The 16882-nt window shown below is 45.1% G+C and overlaps 1 protein-coding gene across 1 annotated transcript, besides 3 other annotated features; it reads right to left on the bottom strand.

Moving 5' to 3' along the window:
- Positions 1–657: 657 nt before the first annotated feature.
- Positions 658–3502, bottom strand: LOC124902392 (uncharacterized). Its single transcript, XM_047426112.1, has one exon. The coding sequence runs from the start codon at positions 1490–1492 to the stop codon at positions 992–994; it is 501 nt and encodes a 166-aa protein (XP_047282068.1). The 5' UTR covers positions 1493–3502; the 3' UTR covers positions 658–991.
- Positions 998–1287: an enhancer, noted in NCBI's record as "active region_3134". NCBI's record gives its function as "activates an Ori minimal core promoter by ATAC-STARR-seq in GM12878 lymphoblastoid cells {active_cell/tissue: GM12878}" and the evidence as "EXISTENCE:reporter gene assay evidence [ECO:0000049][PMID:35858748]".
- Positions 1408–1477: a silencer, noted in NCBI's record as "silent region_2211". NCBI's record gives its function as "represses an Ori minimal core promoter by ATAC-STARR-seq in GM12878 lymphoblastoid cells {active_cell/tissue: GM12878}" and the evidence as "EXISTENCE:reporter gene assay evidence [ECO:0000049][PMID:35858748]".
- Positions 2068–2751: an enhancer, noted in NCBI's record as "H3K4me1 hESC enhancer chr10:22765793-22766476 (GRCh37/hg19 assembly coordinates)". NCBI's record gives its function as "activates a minimal SCP1, AML or CMV promoter by ChIP-STARR-seq in primed H9 embryonic stem cells {active_cell/tissue: H9 hESC(primed)}" and the evidence as "EXISTENCE:reporter gene assay evidence [ECO:0000049][PMID:30033119]".
- Positions 3503–16882: the final 13380 nt, after the last annotated feature.

Below are 16882 nucleotides of genomic sequence, written 5' to 3' on the forward strand. Positions count from 1 at the left end.
AACTCTTACAACTTTAAGTTCAGATCTTTGCATTTCATTATATGTAAATTATACTTCCATTAAAAATAAAAACAATCCCCAAAACGCTCAAGGTCATAAAAAACAAGGAAAGCCAGAGAAGCTGTCACAGCCTTCCCAAGAGACATGAGGATTAAATGTGATATCCTGGATGAGATCCAAGACCAGAAAAAGTGAAAAATAAAGAAATCCAAATGAAATATGGAGTTCGGTTAGTAACAATGCGTGAATATTGGTTCATTAGTTGTGACGTGTCCCACACTAAGATGTTAACAGTAGGAGAAACGGGAGGTGGGGTATAGAACTATGCAACTTTTCTGTAAGCCTAAAACTATTCTATAATTTCAAAAAGCGTATTTTTAAAAATATAAACAAGGAGGACAAGAGAGAAAATAGTGTGACAGTCACTGAAAATACTGCAGGAAGGTCAAGAAAGTGAACATTAAAAGAACAGTATACATTATCTATTTCAAACAATGTGTAAATTAGCCACAAAGGGCAAATGTTTTTATCTATTGGGTATTGGTGCTGAATACTTTTTCATCACATTTACTTTCCCATGATAAAACAGGTTAGGTGGTCATTATGCCATTATTTTCTAGCTGGTTAATGTTAATAAAAGGCTTGGACACATGCAAATGGCAATGAACTAAATAAACAATATAGCTTTTATTTTCAGCACAAACATAATCCTCGTTGTAAATTATCTAATGTCACTAATCTGTCCTGCTGAACCCCACCATCCACGAGTTACACACATTCTTTATACACAAAAAAATCATTTTGTGCCTGCCAAAACGTTTTCAGGTATGAGTGCGTGTGCGGAGAGATGCGTAAATAATACTCGATTACCATGCCACCTACATCTTTTTGTTAAAAATGCCTTTATGAAGGCTATAATCCTTATCAAATTAAACCCTGCGGATCCCCCTTTTAATACACAGGGAGTCCTCCTCATTTATGGGCGTCGGCGCTAAGCAGCTCTGGAAACGGGCAGACCCAGCTGTGCAGCGATGTCCAGTGTCGCCGCATCTGCCCCGCGGGGTGCAGCATGAGTCTTCCTTTGTGGCGTGCGGCTCCATCGGAACGCGCGTTGCGACGACAAATTCCTTTTTTCCCCCCCGCAGTTAACAGTTCTGGGGCAGAGGCTGGTGGAGAGGTCCAGAGCCCACTCAGACCGAGATGAAGATGAGGAAAAGCATGAGCAGGAAGAGGCTGGCGGCTGCGGCGGCCACAGGGAAGAGCTCGGTGCGCGGCGCAGCCTCCCGCGACCGCGACTCCTGGGCTGCGTCGAGGAGCCGCGTTGCCATAGGAACCGTAGCGGCGCCCCAGTGAAACCCTGCGTTCGGACAGGAGAAGCTAACCGCGGCCGCCCACTCCCACCCGCGCTTCCTCCCCGCCCCCACCGGCCGTGCGCGAAAAGCAGAGATCCGAGAACCGCGTGCGGTACAAACGGCAAAAGCTTCGCGCGCATTTTCCGGGAGTTGAGCGCGCGGCCGCAGGCCGGGAACCTACCGCTCTCAGGCTCCCAGCCCGGGCGCTACGACCCTGTGGGCGCCGCCTGTGCAGCCCCTCCTTCCAGCCCGCTCGGGCGCATCCCCCAGGCCGGGCCAGCGACGCGGGCACCGGGAGCCCCTCCCGCCGGTCCGGGCTTTGGCCCACACCCGGGGACCGCGGAGTGGGAAAGGAACCAAAGCGCGGCGCCTGGCCGACCGCGGACGAAATTCGAGGCCGGAGGGCGTTTTCTTTTTTGCAAAATTGCCCCAAAGCCAGGGCCGCATGTACCTACTGTCTCCTTTGCCCCACATGCTCCAAGAAAATAAGACACATTCTACCCCGAGTCCTAATTATTGGGCCATTTCCTTAACGCGCGGTCTGTCCCCGTGGGCAGAAACATACTGCGAGATGCAGTTTGGGTAATTAACAAAGAGACGAGACCTAACTGGGCTTCCGAAATGCTGGATACTGCGGCCGGGTCGCCCCGCATTCGGGCATCGCGCGGTTCCCGGCCTTCGGGACGTTCCGGCCCGGCCGGACTTTGACCGCTGGCGTAATTAGGAGAAACGCAGAAGGCGGACGCTCCCCAATTTCCCCATCGAGCCTTCTCCTCCCGAGTCTGCGAAGCCCCTGGCTCAGGAGACACCGGCTCCGCGCCTGGGCCTGCAAATCCGCTTCCAGCGAGCGCAGGCCCTGTCGCTCCGGGCTATAAATATTAATAAGCTGCGCGGCTCCGGGCTTAATTATCTCCCTTTAATTGCAACTCAACAAAAAATCCAGTCTCCTGCCACTCAGCCCCCCTAGGTCGGGATCGTTTGGTTTCGGTGTCAGGAGGCTCCCCGGGCTCAGAGTCGTTCTTTGTATTCCGCAGTCCAACCTGGAAAGCATATGCTGCACCTCTGCGCCGGTTAAAATCACCCCCAGACAGATTCGAGCTGCCGCCTCTTCGCCTTTCATTCTGTCGCCTGCGTCCCCAGCAGCCCCGGGTCCCCAGTTCCCTCCCCTCCACCAGAGGACCCTGCCTCTATCCTTCCCCCGCACAACTAACGCAATAGCCTGAGGGGTTTGGTAAACAGAAGCGGCCCCAGGAGGGGGTGGGATTCGCCCCGGGTGTGACCCAAAGGCACCTGCGGCGGCCCAGGCCCTGGGCGAGGCCTGCCGGCCTTGTAAAGGCCTCCGCGTCTGTGCGCGGCAAAGCAGCCCTAACGGTTTCACCGCAGCCCACGTCTCTCCAGTCTGCAGGCCCGGCCTTCCCTGTGCCCGGCTGCGTCCGGGCCGTTCTTCCCCACCGCGCCTGCAGCCCGCTCCCTCCCCAGGGGCTTATCTTGTGCCCCTAAGTGGCTGCGCGCAGCCGAGAAGGGGTGCCCGGCTGCGAGGGGGCCGCTAGCCAGGAACTCTGCGCGCTCTCCCCAGGGTCGTCTGGAGCCCGGGGGTCGTACACTGCTGCAGTTCCTCGTCATCCACCGCCCTCTCTGGAGACGCGATGCCAAAGCTGAGAGCCGGGCGGTGGTGGGGAGCCAGGGTCTCGCCGCGACTCCGGGGACGCCCAGGCTGACGCTGCCTGCGTCCACTGCTCAGGTCTCCCTCAATGTCGGCTCCTCTTCTTGTCCCAGGGGCTTGCGACGCCCCGGGGAGGCCGCTTCTCGTCCAGCAGGCGTGGAGCCGTCAGCAAGGGGAGGCCTTGGGGGAGCCCAGCCGCGTTCAGCCCGAGAAAGCTGGTGGAGACGGCCAGGAGCCCGTCCGGAGGACACACCTGTCGCCGCCTAAGAAGGCCGGGCTCTCCATGCGCAGACCTGGTCGCTCAGACTCGTAAGGCACCACTGTAGGCTGAGAAGCGCTGTCTAATTATGTCTTGCCTGCTTATTTCAGTTCGAGACTTGTGTGCCCGCAAACCGCTGCCCAAGGCAGAGGTGCTGTCTACTTCCTGGGGATTATGATGGTTATTTAAATACATAACTGTCTGTTTACTTGATATATTTCCACTTAAATTACAAGAGGAAAGTTCAAATTGCAAAATAAGGATTCAGGTAAAGCACCCAAAGAAGTTAAATTACCTCTAATTATGTTTCAATTTAGAATGCAGACCCAATTAAAAGAAACTAAGCGTTCCACAACCTGAAATTGCCAGTGATCAGACTGATGGTCACAGAGTTTCATGATTGCTAACCTTCTACTGACATGAGAAACAAGAAATCCACCTGGGCTACTTCAAGACTGTAGCTCTTGTGGGCAGTTTCTGCAGGTCACTCGAGGCAAGATCAACTTTTTTGCTAAATCAAAGTTTCCTGTATAATTAACATAGGCTCAAGGCTCTGGCAGCAAATAGTTAACTGAGGCCCAGAGCTGGGGACAGCCATTTTGGTGGGCAGATGGCAGGTCAGTGCTGCTCTCATAAAACCACTGTGGTTTGCATCTTCGCTTTTCTTCCCCGGCCCAACCCCAAGTCTAGCACTCAGGTCACCTGGGTGGGGAAGGAGCCTGCCTGATGGGCAGAAGTTGGTCGCCTGGGAGGAGGGGGTCATTGAGGGCAGGAGCAGCAAGACAATAGGATGGCAGCAGTGGGCATTTGGGCAGGTATGGGTTTTACTTATTATACCTGCACCCAGCAGCTATTCAGTAAGTATTAAAGGACCCAGAGCTACATGAAGACCACGTGGGGTTGACCTTCTCTAAAGGGCCGTTGAGCTAAGCCACTTCATTTAGAATCAGGCCTCGAGCTTGCATGGAGTAAAATGTGTTCTGTCCCACTTTTCTTTCTGCTCTGGTGTGGGAGGCAGGCAGTGGTGGGAGCCAGGCAGCCACAAAGTCCTCCTGTCCCTTTGGAGCACAAGATGGCATCTGGAAATCAGCTAGTGGGAGTATTTCTTGGAATGTCTTGGAAACTCTTTCATCTCAACCAAGAAGGGTTGCACAAGGCTGGGATAGGCGTTTAAAAATTGTTCTTTGCTAATGACAATCCTGGGTGCTCTCTCTCTCTCTCTCTCTCCCCCCCTGCCCACCCAACTTTGTCTCTCTTCTCTCTCTTACACTCACCCACATATACACACAAATCTGCTGTTTTTGTATTTTATATTACCCTTTTTAGCTTGATAAAGATCAAAGTCACGTACCAAATAGTCTCTTGGAAACCGTACATACAACTCCTGGTCTTCTCTGGCAGTAAAAGTCTGAAAGCTGTTTTTGAATTCTGCTAGCTCAGCCTCACCCTACCCCTCCCCAGATGATGCAATACTAGAACAGGGCCCAGAAAGCTGCTGTGTCTGTCACCAGCTGGCTGAGTCTTGCCTCGAGGTGCCACAGAGAACTGGACCAAACAAGAGCTTTGCTGAGTGATTTTCCCCCAACAGCTGGAGCTGCTGCAGAAATCACAACGAAACACCCTTTGTTGTTATGGGACTTCAGATCTGACAGAATCTTTGCTGGTTCCTTATGACAAATCCTTATTATCTGCGTTTAAAGATGAAGAAACTAAGGCTGAGAGAGGTTAAGCAATTAGGCTTAGGCCACATAGAGAGAATGGGGGTCTTCTGTGTCTGTCTTGGGGCTTTTGCTACCACACCCATCACCATCACCATCACCATGGAGTCAACAGGAGACACTGGGCTATAATCGGTTTTTGGAGAGATGGTTTTGTCCTGGAATTCACATTGCATCTTCCCTGTGTTTTGCTGTGTTTGGCAGGAGGTGCACAAAACACAGCTGTCAGCAGCAGAAGGACCAGTGGGTGCCTGATATGCTTTGGGTCTGTGTCCCTTCCCAAATCTCGTCTCGAACTGTAATCCCCCTCTGTCCAGGGAGGGATCTGTAATCCTCATATGTCAAGGGAGGAAAGTGAGTGGATCATGAGGGTGGTTTCCTCCATGCTGTTCTCGTTATAGTGAGGGAGTTCTCACGAGATCTGATGGTTTTAAAAGGGGCAGTTTTCCCTCTTTCATTTCCCTCTCCTGCTACCTTGTGAAGAAGGTGCCTGCTTCCTTTTTACCTTCCACCATGATTGTAAGTTTCCTGATGCCTCTCCAGCCATCCAGAATGGTGAGTCAATTAAGCCTCTTTCCTTTATACTTTACCCCATCGCAGGCATTTCTTTATAGCAGTGTGAGAATGGACTAATACAGTGCCTGACAAGAAACCGGGTGCAGTCCAGGCCACAGAACCAAAGGCCCATGTGGGAGCTAGGCCTTTCCGCAGGATAAAGGTGTCCAGCTGAGGATGTGACATGCATAAGCTAGAAGCCCCCCTTCACAAATATAGATAGCAGCAGCAGCAGGAGGAGTCCCTGACACCCACCCCCGTGGTGGCCATAGATCCTGTTTCTCCTCTTCCCGCCACTGCCCCTGATTGGACACAGGCCCAGGCTATTGCCCTTAATTAGCAATGCAGGCCTGGACTGGGACAGTTTTGTTTGCCCTCAGAAGCTGCGGGATGTGTTATTTATCAGCCCTGGACATTCAGCAATCTCACACTTGTACAACCTACTGGATTTTATACAACATAGACACCCAGACACACCTACCGCTCATGCTCATAAAAACTAACACTCATCTACACTTCGCACCTGGTTAGAGCTTGTGAAAATGAGACTGGGATCTACAATAATTGAATACAGTCTTTCTCTGTTTTGCTTGGATTTTCATATTTGCTACTTAGAGCTGCTCATGTCCTAAGCTTGGTGTCATAGAAAATATTGGAAAGAACTAGGTAGGTATTATAGAAAAGATGGCATCCTTTGATGGGTAGATCTGGGCCTAATGAGCCTTTGGGGGAGTAAAGATTTCTGTTGACTACTTATAAAGGTGTGAAAATTAGTGCTCAATTGCCATTCACCAAAGCAGTGAGTCTGGTTGATAATGATAGTGGACATTTATGAGCGCCCACTGCGTACAGGGCACTCTGAGCACCTATTGCCTCATTTCATCTTCACTGCAACCCTATATGGGGTAAGTACTCTGAGTGTACCCATTTTACAGGTGAGGAAACTGAGGCATAGAGATGTTCTGTAACAGTGCTGGCAAGTAGCAGAGTCGGGGTTTGACTAAATTCTGTTCACCTGTGAGTTAGCACAAGCCATCAACCAAATAGGTGAAGCTGGCTTCACCAAAGCTGTAGTCACTAATGCCAAGTGGCTTCATTTGGAAAGTAAGTCTTTATTATCTTGGTTCGATCTCAGCTTACTGCAAGCTCCGCCTCCCGGGCTCAAGTGATCCTCTCACCTCAGCCCCCAAGTAACTGGGACTACAGGTGTGTGCCACAAGGCTCGGCTAAAATTTTTTTTTTTTTGTAGAGATGGGGTTTTGTCATGTTGCCCAGGCTGGTGTTGAACTCCTGAGCTCCAGTGATCCTCCCACCTCTGCTCCCCAAAGTGCTGGGATTACAGGTGTGAGCCACCATGCCCCACCTAGTCTTTACTGTCTTCAAGAGAACACATTTCAAGTTATTTTTTCTTCCTCTTGCTCCTCTGAATAAGCTGAGATTCCTGCGGCCATGCCTGGAGGAAGGTGGCAAGTGTTAAAAATGGGATGACTTGTTGCCCTTAGTTCCTCCTGTAACCTACTGTCCCACACAGCTGTCAGTCAGCAATGCCCTGGACAGAGTCTGGCTAGGCTGCCATGCACTAGAAAACTCCTGCTGCCAGCCATTTGACACTAGATGTGTCTTCTTAGGTCAGTAACAATAGTGCCTTTTACATGAATTACATGTATTTACAGTCTACAAAGAAAATTCACTCATGGCCTCTCATTTTAGGTGTTTCCTCTTTGCACTTGGGGCTTTCTCTCTAATTGCAGAATGAAAGGCTGCTTCCCTTGTTAAAAAGATCCCAGGTTAGGCCAGCCTGCCCCCAGATAGAAGCTAGTGATTCACTGTGCCTTCTGAAGGAGGAAAATGCAAACTCGTCAACCTCAGGATCAAAAGGAGGAGGGCAGTCCTGCCCAGATGCTTTCCTACAGGGGGTTTCACCTTCTTTCAACTTGTACTGGTGGCTCACATTGCAATTCATTTTTCCCAAATCGTTCTTTTCCTGTCTGCCCTCCCTCTCCCCACCCCGAATCAGGGTTTGGAAACCCTGCTATCCAGGAGCCAACTGGAAGCATGACTCAGAGCTGCTTTCCTTACTCTTCTGACCTAACACTCCTTTTTCCCTTTTGGGTGACAGTCAGACAGGAGACCAAATCTAGACTGTCAGGGCAGTTTCTCCATAAAGAGATGTGTGTCTTCGGCAACACAGAATGTGGAACAGTCACATGTAGGTTATTTGATGAGTGGAAGACTGGAGTCAGGTTCCTGTGTGTACAGACCCTTCACCATGGTGTCAGTTTCCATTAGCTCTATTAGGAGCATTTCCAGCTTTCTGACCTCTTCCCCTTTTCACAGGGCTGGTACTAGGATGAGGTGAATAAAACATTGGCCTTGGGCACAAGATTTAAGGGGCTGCCAAAAATTTCTCAGTAATCAAAATATTTTATTTCATTTGAGACAGGGTCTCACTGTGTTGTGCAGGCTGAGTGCAGTGGCACAATCGCAGCTGCACAGTCTGCCTCCTGGGCTCAGGTGATCCTCCCACCTCAGCTTCCCGAGTAGCTGGGACTACAGGGGCACACCATCACCCTTGGCTAATTTTTTTTTTTTTTTTTTTTTTTTTTTTTTTTTTTTTTTTTTGTAGAGGCAGGGTTTCACCACTTTGCCCAGGCTGGTCTTGAACTCCTGAGCTCAAGCGATCCTCCCGCCTTGGCTTCCCAAAGTGCTGGGATAACAGGCATGAGCCACCACATCTGGCCTAGATAAATATTTTAATGCAATATTTTTTAAAAAATCAAAATTAACACAAAAATTCATGATCAACAAATAGTCCATTTTTTAACTAAAAATACTATTACTGATCTTTTCTTTTTGTCCCACCCTTCATTATGGCTTGTCATATCACTGCTTTTTAATTTATCTTTTAAATCAGAGGAAAGAAACAGGAATAAAAACTAACTGAAATAAACCTGAGAAAGTAGGTGTGAATGAAATGAAACCAAAAGTACAAGCATTGGAAGTGAGAGAGCAAGAGAATGAGAGCGACTAGATTAATATATGAATAGTTTTTTTAATCAATGGCAATTAAAGGTTTTCATAAAGAACTGTTTGACTCTCCAGCTATCATCTGGTTTTCAGCAATTGTTAAAGATATCCCAACAGTTCACAATGGTTTTTAGGCATATATGTGTTTCCCTTAGTCCTCTAAACCTTTTAGTAATGATACTCTGTTTTTAGAGTGCTTCTTTACTTTTCAAAGCACTTTTTCCATGCATATCATTTCATTTATTCTTCTTATATTAAAAGAGAGAGAGAAAATGTATTATCCTTTCTCAGAAAATGGGCAGGTGAGATTGCAGAAGAAAAACTAAAGTAGTTTTTTCAGTGCTAGGCACCGAGCTTGGTGCTTTACCTACATTTCTTTACTTATTTCCCAGACAGCCCTCAGTTAGAGATATCAGCTCCCTTTTACAGATCAAGAAACTGAAATCCAGGCCAATTGGTTAATTAGCTAGAAATGTTCTCAGAATATTTGTTTCCTAAAATGTATATTTGTGTCCTTGTTTTAGTGCATTTGGTTGTTAGTAAAATTTAAAAAAAAAAGCCAATTACATTAAGAAGTTATATTCTAACTCCAAAAAATGTTTTATACTTCCATATCTGGTTAAAGTAACTCCAACATTTTCTCTTTGCTTCTTCTGAATGGTCTAATATATACCTATGCCAGAATGAGTCAACGTCTAAAGTGCTAGTTTGATAGAAGTGGAGGGTATCTTAAGATGGAATTACTTTGAATTAAGTAGATGTAAATGATTAGACAGCACAGTGATTGAGTATTTCTTCTTTACAAATGCGTATGGTTTATGTACTGCCATTTTGCCTTCTGTAGGGATTGTGATAGTGTATAATTCTGTTAGCACTGAACAAGAAAACCAGTTTTACCTTAACCTTGATAACATCGGATGTGTGATTTCTTTAAAAAGATACTACATGGGCAAGTATAAAATTGCTTCTTGGGGTTGTTTTAAAAGCATATTTCTTTGATTACAAATGAAGACATATATTAGATGTTTGCTAATTTGTCCTTCCTCTTACCTGTGAATTGTAGTTAATACACTTTGCCCATTTATCTACTGGTGACAATGTTTTTCTCATGAATTTGGATGATCTGTTTATATCTTATACATAATCTTGTCTTTCATATCTGGTTAAAATACCATCCTACTCTCTGGCCTTGTAAGTTTTGGTAGACTACATTTAAAAAATAGTTTAATAATTTAAGTGACCAATTTTGCAGTCTTGCCAGATAACTCAGTGGTACTTTGATAATATAGTATATTTATGAAAGCTAATTGAAGTTGATGAGTATGAAGTAGGGAGTAAACTACCTTAACTCTAACAAGTCACGCTCAAGAAGAGAATAAATTTCTGCCATTTTCTATCATTGAAGTAAGAGATACTTAAATAAAAGGAAGTAACTAAAGTAGACCTATGCAGTCTTTATGTTCTTCATTAAAAATAGTAAGTTATATTTAACAGAAATTGACATGGGCATCTCTGATTTTGCTGTTTAGCTGTAAAAACATTTCCAAGCAAAGAATAGAAATAATATACAAGTCCTGTAAAAACATTTCCAAGCAAATAATAGAAATAATATTTCATTCAAGTCCACATGAGTGACCTGAAATGATAGATTTTGTTATTAACTCGGATTTAGTTTTCACTTTTTTTTTTCTTGGTACTTTCCCAAAATGGAAAAGAAAAAGTTTTCTGGATCTTTCTAGGTAGTCTTGCAGACAGCCTCTGGGCGACTACACATGATTGTTCTGCCCTAGTTATAAAGGTTTTCTGAGGTGGAAACACCATTTATATCAGTTTTTTTTTTTTTTTCTAATTTAAGGTGCAGTATCTGACCACATGCCCTAAAGTTGTGCATTTTTCTCATGTGCATGCACGTGTGCGTGCACACACACACACACACACATGCACACGCATACTGAATCTTTTACAGTCCACCCATGGAGGTTTTTATGGGTGGGGGGGTGGCCATGGGGTCTCACTCTGTCACCCAGGCTGGATTGCAGTGGCATGATCACAGCTCACTGCAACCTCTGTCTCCTGGGCTGGAGTGATCCTCCTGCCTCAGCCTTCAGCCTCCCTAGTAGCTGGGGCTACAGGCATGTTCCACCATGCCTGGCTAATTTTTGTATTTTTTTAGAGACAGGGTTTTGCCATGTCACCCAGGCTGGTCTCAAACTCCTGGACTCAAGCAATATGCTCACCTTGGCCTCCCAAAGTGCTGGGATTAGAGGGTGAGCTACCTCGCCCCACCTTTTTTTGTTTTGTTTTTGTTTTAATTTTAATCTATCTACCCTTAAGGACCAGGAACACACCCATTAGTTGAGAGAATGTCATGATTAAAAAGTGTTGCTCTCTCCTGCTAAGCTTCCCCTCCTCCTTATTACACAGACACACACACACTCACACACTCCTGTTTTGTAAAGTGTCCAGCCCTGAATCAGTTCTGGTGAATTAGAGCTTTGCATTGAGTTAGGCAATCCCTCAGTTTTTCCTTTTTAATATAGGAGAATACATGACTTTGACTATCTTGGAAATCTCTTTGCTGCAAATATGCAGAGGAAAAATCGAAGGATAAAAAGAAGTCAAGAAAATAAAATGTTTACAGAATAGTGCCAACTCTTTGTGAGGGGCCTGGCAGTTATGGGTCTGTTGTCTTTTTGTTTCCTGTTTTTTCTTTTCCCCAACATTTTCATTTTTATTTTTGTAGAGGTAGAATACTTTGTAGAGACAGGGTGCTGCCATATTGCCCAGGCTAGTTGTGAACTCCCTGGACTCAAGTGATCCTACTGCCTCAATCTCCCAAAGTTCTGGCATGACATGCATGAGCCACTGCAGCTGGCCACTGCCCTGTTGTCTTAATGGCCATGGTTAATGTTGCCACTTTTCCTTCTCAGTGCCGGGAAGGAGCCCCTTGTTTCTCTAGGAGACCATTAACTTTTACCAAAGCTCTGCTACCAAAAATGGGTTACATATTCTTAGAACATCAGAGGAGCTTCCCCAGGACTTTGAAGGCAAAGTTCTGAAAATATAAATGAGTTGCCACAGATTATATTTTGCTTCCAACAGATGCTACAAAGTTGTTCAAAGCACAGTAGCTTCAGAAAACAGGATATCCTTGAACCATGAAGTTAATTTGATCCATGTGGTGTCCAGAATTCCAAGAAATCCGTCCTGAGGCAGCTTTCCTGCCAATGTTCTCTCTCTGACATATTCTGATCTGCTGTACTAGATGAACTATTTATCATTTGGCCTTCCTTCTCCAATTATGACATATTTCCAGATACTTTTCTTCCTGAAATATGCCAACAAGCTGGCTGTATGCCCAGGGCATGAAATATCTCCTTAAAATCTCAACATTTATGTATAAAACCCATTTATAGGTACTTTTTTTGAGAAAGAGGAGTTAGAAAACTGTGTTCTCTGATGGGTGGTGAATCTTTTTTCTAAGATTTATTTGAAACAAACATTGTTCACATGTTTAAAGATTCACCTGGCCTTCTTCCTACTTGAATTCCCCTTTACCATTCCCTACAAATTATTGTTCCAGTGGCTGCAAACATAGCTCCCTGCAGCCTCAAACTCTTGGGCTCAAGCAATCTTCCTACCTCAGCCTCCCAAGTAGCTGGGACTATAGGTGCATGCCACCATGCCCAGCTAATGTTTTGATTCTTTGTAGAGGTGGGGTCTTATCATGTTGCCGAGGCTGGTCTCGAACTCCTGGGCTCCTACTGGCCCAGAAAAACCCTTACTGGAAGAAAAAGGGAGATAACTCATAATTCTTCAAGTTTGAATTCAGTACCCATTATTTGTTGTACAAAATAGTTCTTGCAGTCTCCTGATTACATTTTAGCTCCTCTCATTTATGGAAGACCCCATCCACAGTTCTTTGCAATTTTTGTAAAGGACCAGAACTATTTACTCATCATCTCTGAGGTCAAGTAGGGAAGAGATTTCCTGTCATAGATTTTCTTCAAAATAATACAGCTCAAGTGTCACTGGACTATCAAACGAATGCCATATTGATTTAATAGATAGTAGCTCTTAAATGAAGTGAAAGGACCTTTGCTTAATTAATTCAGTAATTAATTCGGTACACATTTATTGTGTGCCTGTCACATGCCCCCACTGGAAGGAACATCTGCCTGTCATTCTGTGCTTACTAAACCAGAGGAATCAAACCATGCAATAATAGTTGGCATTTATTTGGGTTCATAACACATGTTGAGCTCTGTGCTAAGGATTCTTCACACATAATTTTATTTAATCTTCTGAACCATCTGTTCAGGTAGGTATTATGATCTTTATTTCAAACATCAGGAAGCTGAGCCTTACATGGTTTATCTCTCTGAAACCGTAACAGTACAGCTGGGGTTGGCCCTACTTGGCCTAAGTCCACGTATGGCCGGGAATCACCTTAGGTCCCTGACAAGTTCTCCTTTGAGATAATATCAAGAATGGAATAAAGATAAGAGGGTTGAATCTGGAGAAATCATGAAAGGTGTGAAGTCAAGTCACTTTATAGCCGTTATTGTTAGATTGTGGCTGTTTATTTCATAGATTGTATTATTTTTTGTTTTGAGACAGGGTCTTGCTCTGTCACTCAGGCTGGAGTGCAGTAACATGAACACAGCTCATGGCAGCCTCAACCTCCTGGGCTCAAGTGATCCTACCACCTCAGCCTCGTAAGCAGCTGGGGTTACAGGTGTGAGCCACCCCACCCAGCTAATTTAAATTTTTTTTTTTTTTTTGTAGAGACAGGATTTTGCCGTGTTGCCCAGGCTGGTCTCAAACTCCTGGACTCAAGCAGTAGTCCCACCTCAGACTCCCAAAGTGCTGGGATTACCGGCCTGAGCCACTGTGCCCAGCTAGATTGTATTATCGATAACCCTGTTGTTGCCTGTTTATTTATAAAGCCATCACTCCTTAATTTTAAATTGTTGTAAATGTATTGTTCCAGCTGTCTGAGTCTGTAATACCTTGCATCTTCCCAGGGCTCAGATAAAGCTAACTAACCTCTCCTCTAAGAAGTCCTCCCTGATCACGCAGGCGATGCTGCTCTCTCCCTCCATGAACTTCTAAGCACAGCCACTGACACCTTTCACTGCACATTGCTTCTTAACGTTTTCCTCTTGAGAAAGAGGGCAGGGCCTCTTTTGTATCCTTCCTGGTGCTTTTCACATGATTCATTCTTTCTTTTTAGAACCAGGGTCTCTCTCTGTTGCTCAGTGGGAGTACAGTGGCACCATCATAGCTCACTGCAGCCTCCAACTCCTGGGCTCAAGTGATCCTCCTGCCTCAGCCTCCCAGGTGGCTGGGACTAAGGCATGTACCACAGTGCCCAGCAAATTTTAAAAATTTTCTCACTATGTTGCCCAGGCTGGTCTCAAACTCCTGGCCTCAGGCAATCCTCCTGCCTTAGCCTCTGAAAGTGTTGGGATTACAGGTGTGAGCCACTGCACCCACCTACATGGTACCTTTTTAATACATACTTGCTAAACGTAGGAACACCATTTATGACTTTTGAGGAATCACAGAGGTGAAAAGGGCTGAATAGTTTCAGGGTATGTTGAATTGTCTTGTAGAGAATTCAAGAAGACCTTGGCAGGTGGAGAAGCTCTATCAAACATCACTGTCAGTTTGTTAATCCCTCCAAGAATCCAGCCTGAAAGAAATGAAGTCCATGTAAAGACTCATAAAGACCAAATAAGTGTTTTACGTGGAAAATAAATTAGCAAATTCACTGTCAAATTCCAAATGGCAAGGAAGCATGGAAAGTTGCAGTTTAATGTCCTCAACAAACTTGTCACTGATGGCCAGATGACAAAGCCTGTCAGAGAAACCAGGAGTCACTTTGGAAACAGACTGCTCTGATACACAGCATTCATTCCTGGGCCAGTCTCAGAAGACTAGAAGAGGGTGCACCATGAAATCTCAAAAAAAAATGTACTTGACTGCACAGAAGTTTCCTTTCAATTTTGAGGGTATTTTGGAAGGCAGCTATACGCACCACTATACTACCAACGCCACACAATTTGAGGGTATTTTGGAAGGCAGCTCTGCTCACCACTATACTACCAACGCCGCACAATTTGAGGGTATTTTGGAAGCTGTGTGGATTCTACCTATGAAAAGGAGTACTTGTCATGGGAGTCTTTTATGGGAAGTAAAATACATTTGAAAGTCTACTCCAGTTGCATCATTCCATGTAGTATAGGGTTTTTCTCTTGGGAGACACATTATGAGTCAGATAGGGCAGACCCAACTCGTTTCTTTATCATCAAGACTTCCCAGATCTGGCCCTGTCTGCTAAGTATATCACTATTTGTTCAGTGTAATGGGGAAGTAAGAATTGCCATACTAAAAATATGCCAAAGTATTCTGAGAGGCCTAAAGAACAGCGAAGAGGTAAAGAAAACAGTATGCTGATGGAAAGAAATGCTAAATGGAATAAAGGAACCTGTTCATGACCCATCTATCTGATGACAAACATTTATTGGGATTGCAGGTACAGGCCACCATGGTTGGCTAATTTTTTTTTTTTTTTTAATTTTCTTGTAGAGATGGGGTCTTGCCATCTTGCCCAGGCTGGTCTCAAACTCCTGGGCTCAAGCGACCTTCCCGCCTTGGCCTTCAAAGTGCTGAGATTACAGGCATGAGCCACCATATTTGGCCTTTCACAAAGTTTTGTACCATGTCCTGGGCCCTATATTAGGTTCAGGGCATGAAATGTGAGACAAAGCAGTCATGGTGCTTCTCTTTATGACTCTTAGTCTGTTAGGTGAAAGAGACGGTAATAGAATAACCACATAGAGTAATGTAAAATTGTAACTATGATTGGTTCCAGGAAGGGGAGAGTACATAGTACTTTAAACCCCTCACAAAAGGAAAGTGTTACCTAATCCAGTAAAAACACCTGAAACTCAAGGATTAAAGTATCACCTCTCTTAAAAAACAAAACCTCCCAGATTTAGCTAGAAGCACTCATGATCATATGTGTCTGTGTCTCTACACATAATATATATATTATTTATTTATTTATTTTAGAGATGGGATGGTACTCTGTTGCCCAGGCTGGAGTATAGTGATGCAATCATAGCTCACCATAGCCTCAAGTTCCTGGGCCCAAGTGGCTGGGACCACAGGTGTATGCCACCATGCTTAGCTAATTTTATTTTGGTAGAGGAAGGGTCTCACTATGATGCCCAGGCTGACCTTGAACTCCTGGCCTTAAGAAATCCTCTAGCCTTGGCCTCCCAAAGTGTTGAGATTACAGGAGTGAGCCACCACACCCAGCCTATGATACTGATTCTCGCCTACTTCTAAGGTCAGCCTGAGAGCACCGTCATCACTGACATACAACCATCATGGCAGAGCAGAATGAGAAGAGCTGACGATTACATCAACATCTAGAGAGACTTCTTATTGTGCCATTATCTGATGAGTTAAATCTTTAGGGAGTTCCAGTTCATGTACCAACAGAAAGGCTGAATTGCAGGGGAGGGGGACTGGAATGGAAAGTTCAAGCAGCAGCCTCCATATTGCTTATCTAGTGTCCCAGTAGGACATCCCATGGGTTGAGTTATTTTTCAGCTGTACAACCTGGTACAACTTAGATTGCTGTACAAATAATGGCACTTTTGCTGCTAAATGGACTATTCAAATATGCTCAAAATTTTTACAAATGAGCTACTTTTTCCAAGGTAGCATACAAATTCCAACATAATTCAAGTTACATGAAGACAAGGCCTTAGCTGTCTTATTCTGTATCTGTAGCACCTGACAGTCTCCATCCTGCCATAGGTGCTCAGTAAATATTAGTTAAATGAATGGGTCTATCTAAGTGATTGGTTGGATGTCACAATCTGCCTTTTGCATCCAGTTGCACTGCAGCAAATATTTCATCTTTTTCTAACAAGAGGAAGATCATACAAGGTTTCATGCTTGAGGAAGCATTTTCCCAACTCAAAATCTTCTGTGTCTGCAATCTACCATTGCTCTGGTTGCAAACCTGGCTTTGACCTTCAGCTCTGTAGTGACTTTTGGGTTGGTTCTCTGTACTTAAGTGGGACAGTTGTCCGACATTAGCTCATCTCTCAATCACTACCTCTGACCTTTGTGCGTGCCCATATCTACTTTGTCTCTTTGGTTTGCCCTGACACTCAGTTTGCAGAGATGCAGGCTTTTGTCTCTGGATCTTTATTCTCTGTCTCTGATCTCATTACCCACATGACTATGATTGTCAAACCTCCAGCTTCCAAGGGGCAGCATGCCA

This window comes from Homo sapiens, chromosome 10, assembly GCF_000001405.40.
Source record: "Homo sapiens chromosome 10, GRCh38.p14 Primary Assembly".
Taxonomy (NCBI): Eukaryota; Metazoa; Chordata; class Mammalia; order Primates; family Hominidae; genus Homo; species Homo sapiens.

What these genes read in the sequence shown, in the direction of transcription:
- LOC124902392 (XM_047426112.1), bottom strand. Translation starts at nt 1,492, where the DNA reads ATGCGCGCGAAGCTTTTGCCGTTTGTACCGCACGCGGTTCTCGGATCT.